Here is a 22,062-nt window from a genome sequence, read left to right as displayed (position 1 = left end):
TGAAGTTTCTCCTAAGCTCATCTGTACATTTTCTTGTAAAATGTAGTTTTAACAAGAATCCTTCTAAGTCAGTTTAGCAAGAACCACACCCTCCCCTGCTGCCCTCGTCATCCTCCGCTTGATATCTGATTACACTCCATATCCAACTGGGCTCCTCATCCTCTATCATCCCCCAGGGGATTGATGTCTGATCACCCTGACCTGTCTTCTGCAAGGATCCTGTTTGGCTGGTCTAGCCAGACTATCCCTTGGTTCTAATGTTTCCTCTTAGTAATTTCCTATCCACTGACCCCTAATCTGCCCCTTGGCTAGAAATCTCCACTTGTCTATGCTGTATTCGGAGTTGAATCCAATTCTTCTCCCTCACTGCAAAATCCTGTTGCAGTGGTCTCTGTACCTATCATGATGGTCCTAAATAAATTCTGCCTCACCGTGTTTTAACAAGTATTACTGAATAACTTTTTGTTAACAGTGAGAGCCAGGCTGTGCACCCCTGTAGTGGGAATTTATGGATAAGTAAGGGGAGGAGGCTAGTGTGATCCACGTGGTAATGATTTAGCATTGGAGACATTGCTAAGAACGAATGTTTAACTTAATATAGATACAGATGGTTATGCTACATATAGAAATATTTATAGATATGCAGATATACATAAGTTAGTATTCACACATGCAATTCTTTGCTCAGAAATGCCTGTACACTGAGAAAAACTAAAAGAAAAGACATCTCAGGAAATGTTCATCACTGGAAGAACCTGCAGTAGGACCTTGGTTTTCCCATTCCAAACACACATCCTTGCCCCCTAGTATACAAGGGAGACAGGGCACCCGCATTCCAGAAGCTAGCAGAAACAAAGCATCACTAGAGATTTATGCTTTAGCTAAATCAGCAACCTCTTTCTGAAAGTAGAAAAGGAGAGTGGTTAGACTCTTAAACACTCTAAAACTCAGGGAACTTTCTTAACTTATTTGTAAGGTTTTGTCATGTATCAGTCTTTCTTTAGGCTCAACTTGCCTCACCTACTTCAAAGCATAATCTCTCATATTGGCATGTGTAAATGGAAGCGAGTCTATGTGTCTCCCAGTCTGAGTCCCCAAAGCAGGTTTGAGTACGGGCTGCAGGTGCCTGGAGAGCACTGTGCGCTTGCTGCACAGAAGTACACTGCAGAGTCTCCAGGCTGGGAGGGCACAATGTGCAGAGAGAGGTGCTTGGCACTTTTGTTTAAGAAAACAGTGAATCTTCCATCTTCATTTTTATCCTTAATGGAACTTATAGATATCAGGAATGTAGGACCTTCAGCAGGGTATTTTTTGTACCATAGGAAATAATCAAACATGCTGTTAGTATAGTCACAGTTCAGAATAGAAATTCTTCCTTCCTGGACGCTCAGGGATGGTGAATTTTGCTTAACTTGCTGGTCATCATTCTTCTGTTGACTGTTTACCCCTGTTTGGAAAGAGAATAACAGATTTTCAGTTTTATTTTTAATGTCCCCACAGGAAACCATCAAGATCCGGAAAACAAAACAAAACTTCTCCAATTATCTCCCAGCCTTGTAGTGTTCCTTGTAGCTTTTCTTACTATATTCAAACCTCCCATGCACAACTCACAGTCTGGCTGAAGCCACAGAATCAGCACTGATGCCCCCAGGAGCATGGCCATCCCTCCTGTGAAGATGCAGATTGTCTTATCTCCTGCCTAGAAAGCTGCAAATCTGACTTCAACCTCCTGTGCTTTATTCATGTCCTTCCACAGACCCTTCATTTTACATATGAACAACCTGTGTGGAGCTCTAAGCTTATTTATCTTTATGAAAGGAAGCACTGCCCCCTTTAGTTCAAATGTAGAAAGTTTCTGTAAATGTGTTTCTGTATTTCCTAAAGATGATTTTATAATGCCTTCTCCATAAAAAGTTAAAAAACAAGAGATTGAAAGAGAAGGAAAAGTTTTTAGAGAACACACACACACACAGCAATAGTAGAAAATGATAGCTGAAAATTAGAGAATTACATAAGGTCAAATGACTGACACCTTGTCAACTGGCATACTAAGGCAGACATCTTGTTTAAAAACATTAATAAGGATTGATACTTATTGGGGACGCATATGGGTATGATGTTTTATTTAATACAATGATATGAATTTAGAACACAAAGAAGTTTCGTAGCTTACTCTTTAGTGCAATTGAATTCTAATATGGTCTTCAAATATGCCCATATTTTCTATATGATAAATAGCACAACATAATTAAATTAAATTTAAATTCTGGGTACCTCTCTCAAAAACACAAATCAGCACAACAAAATTTATCTTCTGTATTAGATCACCTTCTGAACTGAAATTATCTCTATTGGAACTTGAATGAGATCATTTAGTGTGTTCTGTATTTTCAAAAGAGAAAAACGGTGACATAATCCTGTAAAGTCTATAGACAATATATTCATGAAATTTACCAGAAGATGCCAAAAAGGCAACATAGCTGCTTATCTTCACTCTTGGTCCACAGGTAATGTATTTCCCCATGGTTTACTATGATGGAGGAAGGAAGAAGAATCAATTGTACTTTTAATGCTGAATTAGTAGGGCAACTAGTGATTTCAGCTGAGATTAAATTCCAAAATGTTTTTTGAAATTATTTTTAGCAAGGACTGATAACACATAATAAAATAATATTTGATGCATATTTTATTATGGTAATAAACATTTTGAATTTTCACTTGAAGAATAATGAAACAAATACTCAGAAAAGTTAAAATGCCTCTATTAAAAGTGTTTTAAGTCCATTAATACATTAAGTCTGGCTGGGCATCATGGCTCACACCTGTAATCCCAGCAGTTTGGGAGGCCAAGGCGGCTGGATCACCTTAGGTCAGGAGTTTGAGACCAGCCTGGCCAACGTGGCGAAACGCTGTCTCTACTAAAAATATGAAATTAGCCGGGCGTGATGGCACCTGCCTGTAATCCCAGCTGCTTGGGAAGCTGAGGCAGGAGAATCGCTTGAACCCAGGAGATGGAGGTTGCAGTAAGCCGAGATCACGCCATTGGACTCCAGCCTGGGCAACAAGAGCGAAACTCCATCTCAAAAAAAATATATATGTCTATGTAATATATATACATATAGTATATATATATATAATATATATAGTATATACATATAGTATATATATATAATATATATAGTATATACATATAGTATATATATAATATATATAGTATATACATATAGTATATATATAATATATATAGTATATACATATAGTATATATATAATATATATAGTATATACATATAGCATATATAATATATAGTATATACATATAGTATATATATACATATGTATAGTATGTACTATACACATATAGTATATATATACATATGTATGTATATATATAGTCTATTAAAAATAATTGATTCAGGAGAAACTGATAAATTGTCTGTGTTGCATATTATATACTTTAAACCTATATAATTCAGACTTTCTAGTGAAGAAATTTTCATTGATTTATTTGTGTATTTATATATCAATCAATATTAATTTAGTTTTTATGCAATATTTAGCAATGTGCCTGGCTTAGAGTCTCAAATATGGTTATGGGACAATCTTCATTCATAAATACCTGGTAATTTGAAGAGAAAGAAAAATGTGTAACTATATACTTACAACATAGCACGAGACATGAGTGTTTTTATGAGGAAAGCATAACGGTGATCCATTAGTTCTGCTGAGGAGGTTAGCAGTGTGGAGTCAGGGAAGACCCTACAAAGGTAGAGCCCTTCAGCTGGGGCCTTAAGAGATAAAGGAAGATTAACAAGTTGGCTTTGTAGGAAAAGGGCATTCCGGACAAAGGTATCTGCAATTTTAAAAGTACACAGACAAATTATAGCCAAGAGTGCTCAGCAAATGAACTCCGTTCATTATAGTTGAATTTCAGTATCTGTCTGTAGGAAATTTATGACTTGATGTTAGGAAGGGTGGTCACACGCAAAACATGAGGATCCATGCATGAATCATGTATAAGAAGGCTGATTTTGCAAGTCCATGGGGCCTAGTGGTCTGTAATAGTCTCTCTCTCGCTCGTGCTCTCATACACATGCACACAGACTCACCATTTAGACAACAAAAGTACAAAATACACAATGCACAGATGCATCACAAGCCCCATGTTGAATCATTGGATATGAGTGACTCTATGCCTTGCTACAGAAAACTGTTTTATTTGGGAGGGGTGTTAGTGCGAGATTTTTCAGCAAGCTTTGAGGCTGATTGTGGGTTATTGGTGGCTCACAATTTTATATTTGTGGTGAATTCACCTTGTTGCTTGTGTGTGTGTGTGTGTGTGTGTGAGAGAGAGAGAGAGAGAGAGTGAGAGAGAGAGAAAGAGAGAGAAAGAGAGAGTATTACAGCCCACTAGGTCCCCTAGACCTGAGGAGATTCTGCTCCTCCTGGGGTATGCATGCTGGAACCAAGAGAAGTTCTCACACTGAAGACTGTGTCATTAAAGTGATTCTAAATCATATCATAGAACAATTAGAATGAAATAGAACTTTTATCTACCGAGAGTGGTGAACATTAAAAGAACTGATGATGGCTCCGCCACACAAGAGCAAGAGGTTCTATTCTGGAGATGTAAAAAATTCACAGTGTTTTGAGCTTGTGGGAGAGCAGAAGATGAGCCTATCAATTTACAAATTTTATAACGTGCTCAAAGCATGTTATAAAAGTCACGTTGACACTTCTATTCCTAGGGAAGTAACCACTCTAAAGAGCCTGAACCTTGGCCTTATTCAGTTTTTATGACAAGTCCCTTGCAGAATCAGTGGAGATGGGTGACACAGCTGTCTCTGCACAGGAAATTAGTTGGGGGAGGGGGTGGGGACACTTGTCATAGCATATCCATATTCATATTTGCATACACCAAACTGAGTCACCAGATATGTTTAGAGAAGTCTGTCTTCCCTAATAAAGACTACTCAGTTATACTACCAGGAATTTCTGAAACATGGGAGTAGAGCTATTCCTTTGATATCTTTACTTTAACAACACAGAATTAGATTGACATATGTTAAATTATTCATAAAGTTATAAGTAATTTCTTTCTGATGAGAATTTTTTAATTAAAAATAATTCCTACATCTTCACATAGTGATAAATCTGATTCTTTGTATATATATATAGATAGATTTTTTTTATTATTATACTTTAAGTTCAGTAAATTTGATTCTTTACACCCAGTGTTTCATGGAAATGCAGGAGCCCACAGGCTGTATCCCTTTCTTCCCTCTCTTCTTTCCCTTGCAACTCACCTTGCTACATGTGTTCTTTTAAGGTCTACTCTTTTTCTGGTAAGACTAGATTTCTGATTGTTCTTTCTCCCAATAGGTATCTGGATACACATTTTTAAAAGACGGACAACTTTCCATTGAACTAATTTATATTTGTCTAGTGCATCAATCAGGGTATCGTCAAGTGCAGGAAAGTCACCATGAGTTGTATGGGATAGGGGCTTAATTATGGGAATTTGGCTTTACGTGATTGTGAAAGGAGACAGGAAAGTGAAGGTCTAAGGGCTGTGGGAGGGCCAGAGAAGGAAACTCTAACCAGTTAATCTGAGAAACCAAGCATTTGCAGCTGCTGAAGTGTGATTTGAAGGGGAAGTTCAAGGAGAAGTCTAAGGAAGCTCTTGCCTTTGTGTGGTTACCATCTCCATTCATCTATCGCCAGGCATCTGAAGGTGACTGGTCAGCAGGAAGGCATGCTAGGCATGGAGTGGAACAGAGTTAGAACATGCTGGCACCTGCTGGGCATATCCGTGTCTATTTGTCAGATATGACAAATGACTGCTTCAGAGAGCAGTGGCTACTGTTTCACTTTTGCCTTCCATAGCTCACACACATTACTCTTTGGCCAATTTTATCCTGCTACTATACAAAAAAGGAAACTCTGGGAAACTTGGTTCCCTGCTTAATCCAGTACAAACCACCATTTTGTACCTCCTTATAAACTTTGCGTTAGGTCATACCTCATTTGATGGTATTTAATTTCCATATAAGACAATAGTAAAATAATTATTCTACCTAATAGGATGCAATTTCTTCCATAAAATTGTAAGGATGCTAACCTTTTCCCCAAAAGAAAATGCAAGGTCCCTTGTGTCACTTTATACATCTTTAAATGAAGTTTATTCTTTTTCTAGTTGAGTCATACTTCTCCTTTGATAACCTGTGAATTTTATAGTGAGCCATAAAGCTAACAAATAAAAACACATACTATTGCAGACAGTAGAAGAATAAAAGAAATAAAAAGAATGGGTTGTTAACCCTCCCCGCCCCACACACACACATCAAAGTAAGGAAGATGTACCCATAACTACTTCAGATCTTGTTTCTGTCACTGGTCAAGAGGTTGTAGCTAGTATGCACAATTTCATTCTTCTGCCATCATTCATTATTGTTTTTTGCCCTCAGCAATCATATTTCTTTGTCTGGTGGGATGATAACCTCAAGATCTATGTCTTAGCAGTCCTGCCTATATTGAGTTGCTGTAGTTTTCCATTAAATTTTATCATCATTCATGGTGGGATTAAGAGTTTCCACAGACATACTCTTCTTTACCCCCACTGTATTGTAGCAAACCATTTCTCCATGAAAGGCAGCATCAATCATCTCAGCCAGTAGAATAACACCTCTTCTTTGCTTTTGGTTGACTGGAATGAGGAGTCCATGCCATTCTCTTGCCTATACTATAATGTCAAATTAGTTTTGGCCAGCCCAGCTGCTCAGGTGTCTACCTATGTGGATCAAATGCAGTGATCTTCAGGCCTCCATAAGCTGTCCCCAAATTTGCAACTGGGCCACATATGTTTCCCGGCTCCTGAAGAGGGCTGGGCATTTGCTAGACTCACTCATCCATGATTTCAGAAAAACTTGAGGGAAATGAAATTGACCCTTTGAAAAACAAAAGCAAAGCTGATTTTAAGGATTTTTCTCTTTTTCCTTGATTTTCAGCAGTTTTACTCTGATGTGTAGAAGTATGCATTTCTCTTGTTCTGTGTGTGTTTATGTGTGTGTGTGTGCATGTGCTTTACATTTACCCTGTTTAGAGTTTGCTGAGTACCTTGAATCAGTGGAGACTTTTATCAAATTGGAAATTTCAGCTTTATTTAATAGTCAAAATGGATCACATTTATGTATCATATTTATCATATCTTATACAACTTATTTAGAAATACTTTCCACACTTAAAAGGGATTAGGGTCTCTGAAGAACTAACATTTTCTTATCATCAATCAGTTGCATGATTATTTTTATTTGTTCTTAGTGCAGTTATCTTTATCTGCTCTGTTAGGATGTAGATATGCTTAGTAATTTTGTTCCCCATATCCTTCACCTTACCATATTATGATTTACAGACGATTCATTTCAAGGTTCTTATTTAGTCTCCCATAAAATAAGAGTTACTTATGAACATTATTTAATAACTTGCAAATTATACATTATGTCTTAAAATTGCTATAATCTGCCTTGCTTCCTGCCTATATATGTATGCTGTTCCTCAAATTGGAGAACCTTCCCCCACTTGCTTTTGTTCTTCAGTCTGATTAACTCCTATTAAATTGCCAGATTTTGAACTGAGGCACCACATACTCCAGAAAGCTTCCTTTAACAGACATCTGTTTGTTTTTATAATACCCTTTACTGTGCCAGTTAAGTCCTTCTCTATTTTATAGGAACTGATAATAAAAATGTGTTCCCCACTAGAAATATATTCAACAAGGAAAGAACTCTTTATTTATTCAAAGTTCCCTACAGAACCTAATAGGTATTTGATAATTATTTGTTGAATAATTAATGTATCAAACTTGTGAGTAGTGGTGGGTGGGAAATATCATCTTCACATTATAAATGAGGATTCTGAGATGAGGGACAAATAAAATGACTCACTTGCTGAAGATGACATAGCATACTCATGACTGGAAATAAGCTTTTTTCTAATAACCTTCACAAAACATAACAAAGAGGAAAATGATATAGATACTATTGAATATGAGCAAAATGAACAATTAAAAATACTTTAAGAAGTTGGAGACCGGGTGTGGTGGCTCACGCCTGTAATGCCAGCACTTTGGGAGGCCGAGGTGGGCAGATCACCTGAGGTTGGGAGTTCGAGACAAGCCTGACCAACATGGAGAAACCCTGTCTCTACTAAAAATACAAGAAATTAGCTGGGCATGATGGCGCATACCTGTAATCTCAGCTACTCGGGAGACTGAGGCAGGACAATCGCTTGAACCTGGGAGGTGGAGGTTGTGGTGAGCCGAGATTGAGCCATTGCACTCCAGCCTGGGTGACAAGAGTGAAACTCCGACTCAAAAAAAAAAAAGAAGTTGGAAAAAAAAATAATGAAGGATTAGAGAGCTTAGCATGTCTTTTTTGACACATTTTGGTTTGACTTTCTCAAGATTTTCCTTTATACATAGATAATGTAAGATAAGAATAAGTAGCATTCGGGGTGCAAATACCCTTTTTGACAGAAAGCCTTATCATTGAGTTTGAGGGATCCTTTATCTAGAATTTCTGACTCATTGATTCCCTGATTTAGGGATTAGGATGTTAGGAATTGTTCTGTTTAGCACAGAGATAGTTACTAGAGTAAGTATTCATCAGAATCTTTTTTGGAAATGAAATCACTTTGATTTATCAAGTGTATGCTTCTCAAAACCATGTTACAGCAAAACACATGGACATCTCTAACTTATTGTTGAGTCTTAGAATTGCAGGTACTTGTCTGATTTCAGGCTTCAGGTGCCTGGGAAGCACTGTGTCTCCACAGCATAGAGGTAAGTGGCTGAGTCTCTGGTCAAGTATGCAGAAAGCTCTGACCATCCTTCATGGTAGTAGAGGCCATCTATTTTCCCTCTTCCTTTTCATCTTCACTTAAGTCTGTTAGAAAAAATATCATGGAAAATTTCCTAGGATTCTGTCTGTACTAAAGTAAGCCATAAAAAAGATGTGGAAAAGGAAGTACAGGTGAGACTGGTGCTTTCTTGCTCTTGGATATGGAGGATTGAGGACTCTGCTCATTCTTATCCAGAGAGATATGATAATATATGAAAGAGTTGATCAATCAATAGATTTTGCCTAGTAATACCATTCCCACAGATATCTGCAGGGGAACCATTTATGCACCTGCACCATAGTGTCAAGTTACAACTCATTTAGAAATACTTTCCACATGAATCAGGACATGCAAGGAGATGTAGGCAGTGGGAATGCAATGCTAATCACATCGGGACCTACTGCCACTCTCGGGGATGGGTTAGGCCTTCAGCTATGGTTTCATGTATAGGCTGCAGGTGTCTGAAGAGCACAGTGTCCCCACAGCACAGAAGTAAATAGCTGAGTCCTCAGGCTGGGAATCTGATGTATAGGTGGCCATAAAGTTCCTCAGCTTTGACTGCGGATTTTAGTCTTCTTTTTTGCTGTATTCCTGAATTAATGTTAAATAAGGACATGAGGGGTCCTCCAGGCTTTTGATGAAACCACTGCACACGGATCATGTAAATAGAACAACTGCACACCAGGAATGAATTTCTTCCCTCTTGGAGGATCAGGACGTGAGGACTCTGCTCCACTTTCATTTGCGCTTTTACCCCCGTTCAGAAAGAGAAAAGTAGATGCAGATGAGAGTCATCACAAAATCACTGTAGCTGTTTCCAAGTGTAGAAAATTTCTCTGTAGTTTTCTTCCTTATGATAGAGGACACAGCTTAATTGAGAGTTGCGTTCTTTCTCTTTCTCCATCTCTCCCGTTCCTCCATTGCTCCTTTCCAAATTCAGTTGTGATACTCCTCCAGGTTTCCTCTGGGCTGTCCTTAACTCACAGCAAATCTGTATCCACAGGAAGCCCAGCAAGATTCCTATTAATGCCTTCATGATTCTTTACTTTTTTTGCTACAGGGGCACACCTTGATATCTATTCTCTTTAAATATTGGTAAGTATCATATCTTGAATTTGGAACTAATTTTGTTCCCATGGCTGAGAAATTTCATGAGACAGATTCAGCGGCAGCAGCTCCCGGGAGTTGCCCCTCAGCTTCCTAGTGGAAAACTCCACCTACCTGTGGTTTAGTTCACCTTCTGCACACTGTGGTGCGTATGCGTGAGTCCTTGTGTGTGTTTGTGTGTGGGTGGGGGGTAATGGAGGGGTCATCTTTTTAGGGTTTAAGAATCATTTTGGGGAAGAACAGGAACACAGTAGCTTAGAGAAAGAATAGAGAAACAGTCTATATGTCTTTGAGGAGTCAGAGATAAAAGATATTGACCAAGGTGAAATCTGGAACGTGATCAGACTGAAAAATTTTTTGCATTGTGAATGAATTGTATAAAAAGTTATATATATTTATATATAAAATACATATGTTTATATATATATATTACAATTCCCGTTTTTACATTGAAATTATCTTATTTAATTTATTAAAGCCAAATGAAATAATAGCAACTTAGGACGTATGACCACCATAGGAATAAAAATGTGTTATAATAGTAGAAAAATGTTAACATCCTCATTTTGTGTATATGAATATATAAGTAATAAAAATATATATACACATATATAATAAATATATATACACATATATAATAAATATATATACACATATATAATAAATATATATACACATATATAATAAATATATACATATATAATAAATATATATACATATATATACTAAATATATATATACACATATATATACCTTCTAAAAGTTTTTCCTGCTCTATCAATTCAACATTCAATATGTAGACATATAGACCATTGGTTTTCAACCAGGGGCTATTTGCCTCCAGGGACATTTGACAGTGTCTGGAGACATTTGTGTTTGCCACAGGTGAGAATCTTACTGGCATCTAGTAGGCAGAGATGAGGGATGCTGTTAAACACCCTACAGTGCCCAGAAAAGCCCCTTCCCCCAAAAGAATTACCCGGCCCAAAATGCTAGTAATGTTGCTGTTGACAAACTCACAGAGACAATGCTTTTCAATTCAGACAGTCCTCCATAATTTTCTTCTTAACCTTTCTCTATCCTTTTCTTCCCAGCTACACCTTACATTTTCTCAATTTGCTTCTTTTTAAAAATTTTTCTTGGCTTTGAGTTTCTTCAATTTTTAATTTTTGTGAGTACTTAAGTATGTGCATATATTTATGGAGTACATGAGATGTTTTGTTACAGGAAAGCTATGTGAAATAAGCACATATGGAGAATGGGGTGTTCATCCCCTCAAGCATTTATCCTTTGAGTTACAAACAATCCACTTATATTCTTTATTTTAAAATGTACGATTATTATTGACTATAGTCACCCTGTTGTGCTATCAAATAGTAGGTCTTATTCGTCCTATTTTTTGTACCTGTTAAACAGTCCCACCTGTTCCCCAGCCTCCCACTACCCTTCCCAGTTTATGGTAATCATCCTTCTACCCTCTATGTCCATAGGCATGGTTTAGATAAGAACAGTGATCAGAGATTAGAAATAATTTCTGGACAAACAGATCTAGTCTCATATTGGCCCCTGATACTAAAAAATATTAATTCATGAACTATAAATAAATGTTAAACAAATTGTCTTCTTTAAATCTTAAGCTTCATCTTGGCTCTTGGAGATAAAGGAGAATTGGTGATAAGAAAGCAGGATTATGTATGTTATTAAGAATTTTATGGTCCATATACTCTTTTGCTACTGATCCCCCACCCTCAGCCTAAATTATTAGCCTTCTTCCTGTTTCAGAGATTTTTATTCTCCATTCATCCATCAATCCTCCTGACAGCCTAAGGAGACTTTTCTCAGGTTAGAGTACCCCCTAGAGCTAACACCACTTCCTCTGCAGCAATGCAGATGCCCCACCCAGGGGTGGTGCCTGAGTCTGGTCTTAAACATCAGCAGTGTGTTTTTAGGAAGGCATACAGTGATTCAGGAGTGTGGAGAGTGTGCAATTTCTCTCAGAAATTACTGCTCTGAATGGAGGTTGTAGGTCAGAGGATTCTTCAACTTATAGCCCCTGGAGAATGATGGCTATGGGAGCAAGTCTATGACTGTCTATCACCATGAGAGTGAGTTCCTTGGAAGCAGGGACTGTGTCCTTTCCATATTGACAAAGCAGGAGCATCGCTGTCTTGGACAAGCCCTCATTTTAACATTCACCTTAATCAAAAACTTCCTAAGTCCAAAGGCCATCAGCCTAATGGCTATGGTCAGCATGACCATAAACCACAAATAACATCTCCAACCAGAAACATTCCAAACTCCTCCCCAACCAGAGGCATGCTAGCTCTGAGATAACCCTGCTCTGACTGGGAAGGTGCCAGCCCCAAGATAATCCCCCTCCTGCCAAAAAGACATCAGCCTCAAGATAACCTCCCCTCCTCCCAGAGAGATTCCAAACCCCGCCATAAACTTCTCCTCCACACATAAACATTCCAAGATTGTGATAAACCCCCTCACCCTAAAACCAATATATACTCTTAGTCTGCAAGAGAAAGTGCTCCTGACCAAAAAATAAAAATAAAAATAAAATAAATAAATAAATAAATAAATAAATCAGCCAGAAGCCCCTCTCATGTTTTATCTAAAGTAAACCTGTCTTTAACTGCCAAGCTGTGTTTTGTGTTTCTTTCCTCTTTCTTTAACTCTTACACATATTCCTGGCTCAAAACATATATCAGGACACAAATGAGGTTTTGAGTGTACCTTGTGGAAGCCGTGGTTCCCACTTTCAATTTTTTAATTTGTAAGTCCATTATGCTAGGCAGTTACCAAAACATTGCTAATCTTCACAATAATACTGTAAATTAAGTATTTATTCTTACTTCTGCAGTACTTATCAGGAAATTGATGCTCATGAAGTTAATATAATATTCCCAAATTTACACAGCCAATAAGGGACAGAGCCTTTAGAAACCCTTGCTCTTTTCATAGTGTCATGGTGCTTTTCAGGAAGAGACATGTAAGCCCAGTGATTAGGGAAAGACCCTGGGCCATTTTGTTGAGGAAGTAAAACAGAATCTCCTATCAACCCATAACACCTTCCCACAAAGGTAGAAGAGAAAGAAAACAGTTTTGGCCAGGTGTAGTGGCTCACGTCTGTAATCCCAGGACTTTGGGGGGCCAAGGCAGACAGATAGGTTGAGCTCAGGAGTTAGAGACCAGCCTGGGCAACATGGTGAAGCCCCATCTATATAAAAATACAAAAAAATTAGCTGAGCATGATGGCATGCACCTGTGGTCCCAGCTACTTGGGAAGCTGAAACAGGAGGATTGCTTGAGCCTGGGAGGCACAGGTTGTAATGAGCCCTGATTATGCCACTGCATTCCAGTCTGGGTGACAGAGTGAGACTCTGTCTCAAAAAAAAAAAAAAAAAAACAGTTTTATTGAATAAGCATTAAACCAGAATGTGATGCATCTCACAGGCAATCCACTAAAGATACTACAAGGAAATAAAGAAATCTTATCCTTTTATATAGCCGAGCAGATGCAACTGATTGTTTACAGTTTCTCAAGATAAACAATAACTAGTCCGCAAGAAAGAGGACTTGACAGCATCATTTTTCAAACATAGTTCATCCTCAATTTACCTGGTAATTGAGGTAGCCACCTGTTTCGTAATTGCCTTCATGCAAAGGAAACATTTCTCATATCTTTATGACAGGAGGTTGGTTTGCAACTGGGAGCAAAGTACCAGCTGAAGTTAGGCACCTATTCTCCACTAAAACTAGATTAGGGCACTACCTCCCTTCGTGATTACATTTTGAAAAAAATGCTCTCAGGTTCTTGAGAAAGACAGTCCTGGATTGTAAAACTGGCAAGGGATTTATTTAGCTTTTAAAAAGATTTACCTACATTTCAAAGGGATAGAAAACTCACAATTACAAGTTTTCTAAAGTAGGTGCTCTAACGAAAGGGAGGGGAGAGTGTCTTTCTCTTTTTGCATCAGAGATAATTAAAATTGTTTTCTTATTTTTATTTGTATTTGCCTTTAAAATTTTCAGAATGAAGGAGTTTAATGTGATAAAGTTTTTAGAGGAGGCTTTTAAAATGGATTACTGGGTAGAGTAAGGTTAAGAAAATAAGAAAAATAACCTTTGGAATATAAAGTTAAGACAAATGTAAGACTATAGTTATTATTTGCATGGAAATTGTCTGTGGTTAAAAGACTTTAGGATGAAATCTGGATTCCATAATCTTCCATGAGTATAAGAAATTGCTATGGAAATTTAATAACGAGTCCTCTCTAAATGAAAGGTGAAGTTTTTTTCCTTTATAAAAAATATAGGAATATTAATACTTTATGAAACAGATATGATCAACATAAATGGAGTCCCCATGTTTGTATAAACAAAGTAATTTGTTTATATATCTTTTCCTGCCTTTACACATGGAAACAAGAAATCATAAAGCCATTTTATGTCAATCTTACTATAGTTAGAATTATGTTTAGCTGCAGCAACAGAAAACTCAACCAAATAATGGTTTATTAAAAATTTTCATGCAAAATTAAATCTGGGGGCTGGATTTGACTTGGCATCTAAAAGACTACCAGGCATGGGATAAGGAAAGGGGATTAGTTATGTGTTTTCCTTTACGGTAAAGTTATCTCTTCCATGTTTTAAAAAGAGAAAAGGAGGGATAGAGAGATGTGTACTTGTATCAGGAGAGAAAAAAACATTATGGGAAGGCCCTATCCAACTTCTGGTCCTATCTCACTGGTCAGAACTGTTCTATATGTATATGGCAATCTCTTGCTGCAAGAGAGGGTAAAATGTAGTGTTGAGCTTTTTTAAAGCTGGACATATTGTTGCCCAAATCAAAATTGAGGGTATTGTTAATAAGGAGGCAGAAAAGAATTGTGATTAGGTTGGCAGCTTGCAGTGTCTGCCTTCCTGACTCCTCTGGTGAGGACTCAGAGTATTAGGCAGAGAATAACTCATTCCCCCTTAAGTAGTCAGTGAAAATTCCACAGTAGGGGTGACATTTACATACGGCCATCAATAACAATATTATTTTAAGGACATTTGTTGAGTATACATGTTATGCCTGGAACTTGAGACAATTTTATGTATTTTATCTCATTTAATTCATAGCAACTCAGCAAGATAGGTGTTCTTACTAACATTAATTTATAAGGAAATGTAGGTGAGGATAAATAATTGCCCAGGGACACAGAGCTAGAAAATTGCAAAAACGAGATTTTAATTTAAGTTATTTTGATTTCAAAACTCAGAAACTCATGTGCATTTTGCTATATCATCTTGCCTTACAGAACAAATACAACTGCTTCAAGTATGAAAATGGGCCAGTGGAGGGCTTGCTATGTGGAGGAAACTGCCAACTTCTTTCTTCTTCAGGCTTGAAAACTTGAAGTTATTGACATTTGCCATTCAAAGACTCTTCCCCAAGCCAGTCCTGTGAACATACAGGCCATTGTAGTTAATGTTTGGTCACTTTCAGAACCACCAACTAGGATGTTGCTTTGAAACCACAGTTGGATGCTACTGAGGTGTACTATCGGTATCTTTCTTCCAAAAAGGTAGTAACTTTCTTCTAATTTTTACAATACTTCTGCATTTTACTGCAGTGTAAGAGTCTGGAAAGATAGCAGCTTCATCATCTCTGGAGTACTACAAGAAAGCTGGGAAACCATCCATTTCTGCCCCATTGTACTGAACATTCCTGGGTGTGGTCTTCTGGAAAACGGAATGACCAATCTGAACCATGAAGTATTCTGAAATTCTCCATGTTGATCCTTTGGATTCAATTAGCATGAGAGCTGAAGGCGTTCCCATTTAAATTAACAGAAAATCCTAAAGAGATGGAAAATCCCTGATGCCAACTATGAAAGGAAGAATTAATGAAAGAAGGAAGAAAGAGAGAATGAGGGGGTGAGAAAGGTGGAAGGAGGGAGAAAAACTCATTTCAGGTTGGGAAAGAATCCCTAGCTCCCTTCCCTGGTGCCTTCTGCTTTGTTTCTACACAGGGGTGGAACACTCAGAAACAGTCTGTCTGATAGCTTCCATTTGTCCCTCTATATCGACTCTCTTTGCTACTGCCTACCCCGGGGAGTTGCAGGCCCATATCGTTAATGATCCTAATAGCAGGCTGCATTTCCAGATATTTGTGTTATAGCAGAGGGGTCTTGTCCTCCAGTGTGTGTGGAAAATGTTTTCTGGAAAGGCAGCAGAAATGGTTCCATGAGGGGCTGAGGTTGTTCTCTCTATTCATGCCATAAGCTGTGCGAGGCGGAGCTGGAGGCATGTGGCAGCCTCGTGACTGGGGCTGGCAGCAGGGTTTGGGTGCAGGCAGCAGGTGCCTCAAGAGCACTGTGCTCCTGCACAGAGGTAGAGGCCTGTATCACCAGTCTGGGCTGCAGTGATGTGGAGAGAACTGTCCTTTCTTGCATCACCAAACTGAAAGGTTAGTCTCTTCAGCTTCTTCACTTCTCCACCCGTAACTACTGTCACCAGGAGGACAGGACCTTCCCCAGGCTCCTGTCTGTACCATTGTAAGCTGGAAAAAACACTTGAGGAGTTGCAGTACACAGTGAGATTTTCTCCCTCTTGGATGCTTAGAAACTGAGGGCTCTGCTCCAGCAGCTGGGTGCTCACCCCTGTTTAGAAACAGAGCAGAAGGAACCAGGGAAGGGAATTAGGGATTGTTTCCCAACCTGAAATGATTTTTCCTCCCTCCTTACTCCTTTCTCCTCCCTCCCTTGCTTTCCCCCTTTCTTCCTTCTTTTATAATTCCTCCTTTCATACTTTGCCATAAAACAACTTGCCATCAGGGATTTTCTGTTAATTTAATTGGGAACCTTTTCAACTCACATGCCAACTGAATCCAAAGAATGGACACGGAGAATTTCAGGACCATCTTGTCTTTCTATCACATGGTGGACATGGCCCCTGACTTTAGCTGCTCCTGAAAGAGCCCGTCCTGGAACAGACTTCTCTGGGCTAGAAGAGTGCTTGCTGCCACCCACTTTGAGTTCCATAGAAAGCCAGGAGCCTCAGTGTGGCAGCCAATGGAATCATTCACTCTCCACCCGCCCCTTCCTCCAACCCAAAATGTATGTTGCCTTTTGAAATACTACCCTCCTGTGGAGAGATAGAAAAGTGATTTATTTCCAATAATGCTCTGTTTCTCCCAATTGCATTTGGTAGGCATAAATATCAAGATTAAAGTAGAAATGTAACTGGGGACCTCACCCACTTTCTTTTTCTTCCTTCCCTTCCCTCCCCTCTCATCCCTTCATTTCTTCCCCTCTGGACACTCCTTGCCAGTAATGCATGCTTGTCTAATTATTCTCTTGCTTAAGAAATCCCAGAGTCAAACCTAGAAACAAACCACGCAGTCCCCATTGAGGCATCATCAAGCTTAGGGGGACTTGTGAACAATTTGTCCACCACCACCAGGCCGAAGTCAAGATAACAACTTCCAGACCCCCAGAGGCGCAATTACCCAATACAGCCTCGAGAACAAGACACACAAACCCTGCACCCTGCAGAATTCCTGCATGTCTCCCATCCTATGTTTCATTTTTAAAATCTCATGGTGAATTTAAAAATGTAAAATGGTACTTTAGAATGCTAGTTTGCCATCTTCTCAGTTTGCTGGCTCTCATATTAAACCTGCTTTTCCCATCTACCCTCGGCTCTCTGTTTGGCTTTCAAGTGGAGAGCAGCTGGACTGGGGTCCGGTTACAGAAAGAGTATTGTGACCTTATTAAAAAAAATGGAAAATATATCCTTTTAAACATTGATCATTTAAAAGCCAGAATAAAAGAATAATAGAAAATAATGAAAGTACCATCTTATCATTTCTGATATCCTCAACAAGCGTGCTGAGCCATGTAGTATCTGAGTAACTGTAACTGTAGTAGGGGGCATATGTGGTGTGAAATGATGCTACATTTACAGGGCCATAGAGCATGAGTGTCATAAACCTATTTTTACTAAATTAAAGATGAACAATTCTGTTGTAGATTATTTAATTTAGAATACTTTTTTGATATTCTACTGCATTACTCTGTTATTAGATCCCTGGTTCATGCTTATCAAAGCCCTCATCACACTATCTGGTAATTGCACTTGTTGGGCTCATCTACAAGTTCCTTGTGGAAAAGGTTGTGCTTTTTTTTTCACTCTTGTAACCCCAGCAGTTACTAGACAGAAAGATGTGAACACATAATCATGAATTGATATGTAAACTGTTTGTGCATTGGTATAGTGATTTAAGGATATAGATGTTGTGGTGTGAGTATAGTATGTATTCAAATATCACAAAATCTTGTGTACCGAGAGGATTGTTTCAGCCATTGCATACAGTCATTAGTAAAGATAGTCAGATTGGCCATATGACTATTTGTTAATATCTTAAATGGGAAAATACAATGCATATGCATTTTCTTTTTAAAAATTTTACCTGTAAGTGGGTATGTGGGAATCCAGATTCCTTGAGGGGCTTAAAATAGAGGGGGTCAGCCTGTGGGGCTCATGGGAACAAGAAAAGAGCTGCTCAAGGATTACAAGCTATTGACTGCTTCTTTGAGGAATCCCATAACCCGAGCCCTTTAGATATAATATGCTTTTATCTGAAAAGTAGAATAACGATTTAGCTTCAAGATGGAAATGAGAAGAAAATTTCCTTGACACTGGGATTAACTATCGTTGTCATTATACTGATTGGGAATATGGAATGATCTTTTTTAGTGCTTGAATCTCCTTGCAGTTTCAGTCAGAAGAAAAATTCTGCCACAGAATTTTTCTGTTCTGGATTTCATCCTTATAAAAAGGATGGAATTCAGAACAGTGTGGCTGGAGTCATATCTTCCTCCTGGGGTTCTATTCTAAGTAAGAACTACTGGGTATAAGAAAAGGAAATATAGTCATGAATTGGCCTGAAGGATATAATGAAGTAGAGGCACCTCTTGGAAAAATCTTTTTTTTAAAGGTATCATGTTTACTGGGCCTTTATGATTGCGTAGAGTTTTGCCAAGTTTATGAAGAAATAACATATAAAAGAAGGAGGTGTTAGAGTGAGGTCATCTGATGGGCTGAAGTTCAGAGATCATGGAGGTAATGATAGGAATGAGGATAAAAAGTTACGGGGAGTAGTGGTGTAGATGGCCAAATAAACCTTGAGTTTTACTTTTGGGTAATGAAGAGCTGTGGAAGGTCCTGAAATAGGTTAGTAATCTAGTTACACATGTGTTTTAGCAGGACAACTCCAGAGGTGGTAACAGATTGGAGAGGCATGAACTAAGTGGTAGAGGATATACTTAAGAAGCTATTCCAATTAGCCAGGTGAGAAATAATGAGAACCTGGATCAGGATAGTAACAAGTGGATTGAAAAGGAGTGACTGAACGATAACAATTTGCTTGTCCCTTCTCTTTTTCTTGTTTCTTTTTGTGTTGAAGGACTTGTCTTCAGTAAACTAGTTGTTCACATCAACAACGTTCTTTGTAAGATCTTGTTCCCCTTTATCAGAGCAAATGACTCTGTCCTGGTGACAAAGGCTCTGTGGTCTCTTAAATAATTGGAATCTAGAAATGAAGATCTAGAATATCCAGCAACCGGAAACTTTTTTTTTTTCCTGATTCACAGCTATTTAGAGTGATCTAGGATCTTGCTTTAAAGCCACTGTACCCCAGATATTAATTTTATTTCCACAAGGCATCACTGCAATTGCAAATGAGCCAGGTTTGGTTGCACTCTTCCATCTTTTGGCTTTTGAGGACTGTCCTAATGCCACTTTATTTACATTTATGCAAGTCTCCAAATTAACAGTTCATCAGAAGCCACACCGCAAAGTCTCAAAGAAGACTCCCAAGAGCTTTCCTAGTAGCTCTAGCACCCAAGTTTAATGAAGATTTGGTTTGGGATGATGAATATCCAGATGAAAGAGATTTTGCTCTTTCACTGCCATATTCTGCTCCGTCAAATATATGAAAATATAGCTCATTTTCTCATGAACTCTGTTATTCATAATATATGACACAATTAAGTCACACTATTTAGCTATTCATATTCTAAGGTGAAGTGGAATCCCTATCATCTTTGGTCAGTTATTGAAGAAATGTTTTGCTTGTTTCATGTTCATTTGGGATAGAAGTATATTCTATCCCAAATGTGCCCATTATAAAAAAAGTTTATCAATATATTAAAAAGAAAATATTCTACCCCAAATATGCCCATTATAAAAAAAGTTTGTTATCAATATATAAAAAAGAAAATAAAAACACTCACACTCAAACTGTACCATTATTCCTCTTGGTATATAATTAGAAAAAATGTGGCTCCGTAGGAGTATAGGCGAAAAAGTACAAAGTTCATTTCTGATTAAAATATTCTAAGCAAGCCTTTCTCCAGAATCTAATTTTCCAACACATTCTTCATTTAATAAACACAGTTTCAGGCCATGTACTAGATTTGGGGGATATAAATGAGACAAGATAAGGTCTCTGCCTTCCAGGTCCTTAGTGTCCAAAAGAGCTGCTGTCAAAAACAATTTTCAAAACTAATGTGTCAAAAAAGACCTGTAGCAGCATTACAGGCAAACATTGGACATGTAATAACTGCTAACAATGGGGCCACAGGGAAAGACTTTATCCAAGGTTTAGAGGGGCATCCCAACAAAGATTTGGAAACTATCCAACCTGCCTTTACACATGAAGTAGAGCTCAGTGACAAGCGAGAGAAATAGAATAGCCCTTTGGAGGTTGCACCAGAGAGGAAAGGGCCAGGGTCAACTGTTGACCTCCCCAGGAGATTTTCCACATTTCTCAGAGCTTAAAATAGAACCTCTAGCCACACTATCAAGTCCTCCAGAATCATTCCACGGTGAGAGCCTGTGGTCCACATGGACAATTCTCCTTCCACTCTGAGTCCACCCTGGGTAGCCTCCAGTGTGATAAGGGTGGTGAGGGGAAACTGAGTTCAAGGCACCAGTTCTGTGTAAGCCTCCCCTTAGTGCCACCAATGTCCTCAAGGGAGCTCAGGATCACCAGGACAAATAGAATACTGAATATAAAAATGTTTGGATACAAGAGAAAACTTTCAGAAATATTTTTAACACTTAACACTTTTCGTAGAGAAGTGATGAATTCTGCCTAAATGACTTGATACTGGATTCAGACATACTTATATTAATACTCCATCATTGCCATTTACTGGCTAGGTCACATCAAACAATTTACTTAACCCACGCCTGTAATAGTTTTCTAATAAGTTGAATGGGGCTTATATTACTTATGCCACAAGGATGTGTTGAGGCTTCATTGAGATTATGTATATAAACCAGACTGTGTTTCAACCAATCTATTTAGAGGATTCCCTGAAGCTCAGCTTTACTACTTCAATTCTTTCTCAACAGGCCCTAATGAAAGGCCCAGCCCAGATGAATCATCACCTAGAAAAATCCAAGAATACATCAGCCTCATCAGCCACACTCATCCTGAGTGAAAAATGCCCAGAATATATGACTATATTGTTCTGTGACAAGCGTTATGTGAAGAAGTGTAACAACTACATAAAACTCAATAATTAGTCACCTTGTCCCTTTTTAAACAACTAGTACACAAGTAGCCAATTAAATACCAATCAAAAACACATAGGTATTTAGTAGTCAAAAACACATAGATATTTTTGATATGGCAAGCTTGACAAACAATATGTACAATTAACAATGTTGTTGACTTTTCTAAACACTTCATATAAATCAACACATTTATTCTTCACAACATCACTGGAGGAAGTTAACATTATTCTCATTTTTCAAATGAAGAAACTGAGACACAGAGAAGTTCATTAATCTTCCCATAGTCATATAGTTAGTAAGCGGGCAGAGCCAGTCTTCTAATCTAGGCAGTGTGGCTAAAGAGTGGACCCACTTAGGTCCTGTGGAATACTGCCTCTCAGATAGTGGAAACCTTGCTCAGCAGAATAGCGGCTTCAATATGACCTTGGAGCTTATTAGAAATGCAGAATTTCAGACCCTACTGAATCATAATCTG

The 22,062-nt window shown here is 38.2% G+C and overlaps 1 pseudogene, 2 gene segments (V, D, J or C) and 1 further gene, besides 11 other annotated features; all 4 read right to left on the bottom strand.

The window, feature by feature from the left end:
- The window catches only part of TRA (T cell receptor alpha locus), a 930,229-nt gene that overhangs the window by 387,121 nt on the left and 521,046 nt on the right, over nucleotides 1-22,062 (bottom strand).
- Nucleotides 1,103-1,111: a recombination feature (nonamer).
- Nucleotides 1,112-1,134: a recombination feature (spacer).
- TRAV29DV5 (T cell receptor alpha variable 29/delta variable 5) lies at nucleotides 1,142-1,663 on the bottom strand. The segment is given in 2 exon segments: nucleotides 1,142-1,447; nucleotides 1,612-1,663. Coding segments are annotated over 2 exon segments (358 nt in total), but the record flags the coding sequence as incomplete, so codon positions are not given.
- Nucleotides 1,440-1,447: a sequence feature (TRAV29DV5 leader sequence).
- Nucleotides 1,612-1,663: a sequence feature (TRAV29DV5 leader sequence).
- Nucleotides 9,335-9,343: a recombination feature (nonamer).
- Nucleotides 9,344-9,366: a recombination feature (spacer).
- TRAV28 (T cell receptor alpha variable 28 (pseudogene)) lies at nucleotides 9,374-9,933 on the bottom strand (annotated as a pseudogene). Its single transcript is given in 2 exon segments — nucleotides 9,374-9,644; nucleotides 9,882-9,933. Coding segments are annotated over 2 exon segments (323 nt in total), but the record flags the coding sequence as incomplete, so codon positions are not given.
- Nucleotides 9,637-9,644: a sequence feature (TRAV28 leader sequence).
- Nucleotides 9,882-9,933: a sequence feature (TRAV28 leader sequence).
- Nucleotides 16,340-16,348: a recombination feature (nonamer).
- Nucleotides 16,349-16,371: a recombination feature (spacer).
- On the bottom strand, nucleotides 16,379-16,920 carry TRAV27 (T cell receptor alpha variable 27). The segment is given in 2 exon segments: nucleotides 16,379-16,660; nucleotides 16,875-16,920. Coding segments are annotated over 2 exon segments (328 nt in total), but the record flags the coding sequence as incomplete, so codon positions are not given.
- Nucleotides 16,379-16,920: a sequence feature (TRAV27 leader sequence).

Source organism: Homo sapiens, chromosome 14 (assembly GCF_000001405.40).
Source record: "Homo sapiens chromosome 14, GRCh38.p14 Primary Assembly".
Classification (NCBI taxonomy): Eukaryota; Metazoa; Chordata; class Mammalia; order Primates; family Hominidae; genus Homo; species Homo sapiens.
Note: the sequence above shows the minus strand (reverse complement) of the source record. Positions and strands in the feature narration are given on the sequence as shown.